Source organism: Homo sapiens, chromosome 21 (assembly GCF_000001405.40).
Source record: "Homo sapiens chromosome 21, GRCh38.p14 Primary Assembly".
Classification (NCBI taxonomy): Eukaryota; Metazoa; Chordata; class Mammalia; order Primates; family Hominidae; genus Homo; species Homo sapiens.
Window position 1 is genome coordinate 38,973,931 of NC_000021.9, and position 3,844 is coordinate 38,977,774.

The 3,844-nt window shown below is 45.6% G+C and overlaps 1 long non-coding RNA gene across 1 annotated transcript; it reads right to left on the reverse strand.

Annotated features, from left to right (window-relative positions):
• Window positions 1-498: 498 nt before the first annotated feature.
• Window positions 499-3,844, reverse strand: LINC01700 (long intergenic non-protein coding RNA 1700). The gene is made up of 3 exons (NR_109962.1): window positions 3,781-3,844; window positions 3,523-3,637; window positions 499-1,917 (listed from the first exon to the last, which is right to left on the reverse strand). It is a non-coding gene; the product is annotated as a long intergenic non-protein coding RNA 1700 (long non-coding RNA).

Sequence of the window (3,844 nt, forward strand, 5' to 3'; positions counted from 1 at the left end):
AGCCTGGACTGGCCCTGCTGCCCAAAGTTGATTAACCTGGGATTAAACAGCTAAAGAGTCAATCTTCCTCTCTCTCTCTCTTTCTCTCTCTCTCTCTTTTTCTCATTTCTATTATTTCTTTCCTAGAGCGAAAGTTCTGAGAAGCCTGCACCCTCATATCCCATCTGTAAATCTTCTAGCTAGACGTCCCTTCAATAATCGCATTATTCAATGCGAAGAAGAAACCCAAGATGTTCCCCCAATCTGTAAATCTTCTAGCTAGACGTCCCTTCAATAATCGCATTATTCAATGCGAAGAAGAAACCCAAGGTGTTCCCCCAAATATATAATACAACATTAATGTAGCTGCTGGGAGACATCACCAGAGATTGCATGGAAACTCTACAAAAGCAAAGCAAATCCAAACAAAAAACCCTCTGCACAAGGCCAAGGAGCTGAAGTAAGTTAAAATGAAACATCAGTAATATTGTTTGGGAAAACAAAGAATCATATAACACATGGCTTCTAAAAGAAATTTATTGAATGCTTTCAAACAGCTTGAACAACAGAGCTTGGCAGATTAACAGCCGTAAGTGTACCTGCAGGTGTATATCAAGTTCAGACATCTGATGCCAGGTCCCAGGCCCTGGCAAGGCCAGAAGGCCCAATATTAGACATAATCATTCTCGCTGAATGCCTTTTTCAAAGCCCATGTAATTCATTGCTGGGGTTGTATTTCATGTTTAGGTTGTCTGGCTTTCTTTGTTCTTAAGAAAACAACCAACCAATACCAGGAGGCCAAACGTTGTTTAGAATCATGAAACCATAGAATGTTACCACTGGGAGGCATCTTGGAAATTCAGACTCCAATTCTTCTGTTTTTCAGAAAAGCTAACTGGGGCTCAGGGAAAGAAAGCAAGTGGTCTCTTGGGCCAGAGGAAGGAGGAGTCCAAAAGAGGGAAGGGACAGCCCTTGGTAAAGAACCAGATTCCAGAGGGCACACAAAATACTGCTTCCTGGTTTCACACCACCTAGACTTAATGATAACAATGACACCCACTGTGTGATTTTTATTTCCAGTTTATAAAGAGCTCTCAATTGGAATTTCTTTTGACTTTCACAATCTGTCTTTAAAGGCATGGATGTGACCTGCGTATTTCAGAGTAGGAAACCAAGATGTAGAGAGATTGGACCAAGATTCCAAGGACTGGGGCTTAGAAGTAAGTTAGCCACATCCTTTTCAGTTTTGAGAGCTGAATGGTCACTAGTATGAATGATGACTGTCCCAGGGAAACCAGAGGGCCAGGTCACCCCACCCGTGCCCCAAGCCCATGCCAGTCCCATTCAGCCATGTGGCTCCCAATCCCATCCTCTATTGCATTAGGCCTCATATTTTTCGAAGCACTTTTATGGTTCTCTTGTGCCAAGTAACCCAGTGAGTTGGGCAGGATGGGCATGCTGTGCCATTTACACAAGAAGAAATGGAGTGTTCAAAAGAGGCCATGTAAACCACGAGAACCGTGCAAAGACAAGTTTCCTTAATTCAAATGCACATCCAGGGACCTTTAGTCCTGGGTACATCGAGGGTTCCTCAGGCCTGCTGTAGATCCAGACGTCTTAGCAAATCCAGGGTTCCTTACTCCTGCTCTAGAATTCTCTTTCCCACATACATTTACTCCACCCAGGGAAGAAGAGAGGAAGGAAGTATTTAATAGATTGTAACATATGAGATCCCCCAAAAAAGTGTTTTTAAGTTAAAGAAATAAATGATGGGGGGAGGGAAGAGGGACCTACCTTCAGTTCAGCCTCCAGGCAAATTTCCAAAAGGCTGGCATGTTGGAGTCAGCTCCGGAACAGCAGCCCCATCCCACTGAGTCTTGGGGGAGATAAGAAGGGTCTCAAGTCCCAACAGTCACAGAGCACTCAGCTAGTGGTCTCCTAAAAAGAATAAAGCCTCAGCTTGGTTAGGTTGGCTCTCTGGGCCAAATGACAACCTGAACTGGGGGCCCCAAATCTGGCAGCCCATGGAAATCACTTGGAAGCAGGGTTATTCCAGATCTGCGGAATCAGAGTCTGCTTTGAACCAGCTCTCCAGGCAATTCCAATGAGCAGGCAGATGGGAAGCAGGGATTTGAACAAGACTTCATTACTATTACAATTATGTAAAGTAATTTCTAAAATCTCCCTCTTCTTTCACATGAGATAATGAAAGAAACCCGTTTGATACATTTTTTTGCATAAACTATATGATTGCTTTTTTTTACAATGTAGTTTTAGGGAATTTAGAGTCAGGCATGGGTTTGGGAAGCAGGACTTGGGTTGAGACTCTGGCCTTGACCCTAATGAGCAGTGAGACCTCGGGCAAGACATGTGACCTTCCCAAACCTCGGTTTTCTTAACTGTGAAATGGTGGTGATGATTGAATGAGCAGTGCAGGGCTCATGTGAGAGTCAAATTAAATAGTTTTTATAAACTGCCTTGTGCACTGGGAGCATTTGGAAAATGGAAGCTTTTAGGAACATTGCTGTGCTGTCTCTATCCTTGGTAATGTGGGCAATTCACAATGTGAAGGGTAATTTTTGCTTCTCTCACTGTATCACCGTGTCAGCAGCCCAGTTTAAGCCAGCACAGTAGACCATAGACTCCCTACACTCTACTCCCAGCCCTGCAGTCTAAGACAGCATCTTGCGGGGATGAGTCTAAGGCAACTGCAGGGGCACAGATAAGTCCTTTTATTGGGCATTTTCCCCAGCTCAGGGTCAGACACGGATGCTCTTGGGTAACAAAGGAGTCCAGTGAAATCCCCTCCCAAGAGTAAAGCAGGAGAATTGCCGTGGCAACCCCAACCTGAAAACAACGTAGGCATGCCAATGGTGCAGTGGGGGTTCAAGGGCGTGATTGGGAAAGTGTTATGGAAGTGTCTCAGCTAGACTTTGATGAACGCATGGGATTCGTGCAGGTAGAGATGGCTGGAAGTGCTCTCCGGGTAAAGGAACCAGCGCAAAGAAGAGCTCAGAGATGGGTTGTGGTGGGTCTGAGTTAGGGTGGCCATGAGACTTCATCAGACCGGTTGGTGCTGCTCCCACACTTGGGGGAGGGGAAGCATGTTGTCAGCCCTACCCACCCCCACACTGCCTCCCCAGCAGATTGGGGCTGCCAGGGAGCTGGGATGGGCCCTTTCCTCATCCGTGCAGGGTGTTTCATTCCACAGGATGTGGCCGACCTGAACCAAGGCCACGGCTTCGGCTCTACAATTAAGAAACCACCACAGTTCTGACTCTGCGAACAACAGAGGTGTTTATCCTGAGAGTTATCCAAGTTAAACTGGAGGACGCCTGTATGCTAGAAGGTTCTATGGAGGCACTGAAGAGGGGTGAAGCCACCATGATGTAAATTAAAGGTGACATCCTAGTCATGTGGTCTTTCTGATGGACAGCACGAGAGCCAGGTCTGGATTGGTTTAAAAAAGTGGAGTTGGTTTCAAGGGCCACAAAGACAGCCTTCATAACTTTAAGACTCATTCCATATGGGTTTAATACTTACAGTTCCTGAGAGCTAGGTGCTTTGCTTAGGCACGGAACGCATTGCCTTGCCATCCGAAGCCATGCATTCAAGACCATGAACTGTGAGTCAAATTAAATGTTGAGTGTTCCTTTTTCTGCAAGAAAATGGATGCCTCAGTTGAAAAGACAGATAAGAAGTGCAGAAAAAGAAAGCAAAGCAATCAGCGTTTCAAGATAACGATCCCACTCCATGGAATGTGGGCTCCAGGAGGCAGGCATGGGGTCCAGTCTCATTTACCTTTTTGTCACCTGTGTCTGGTAATTGGAAGTGCTCCATAAACAGTGGTTCAAGGAATGAAGTA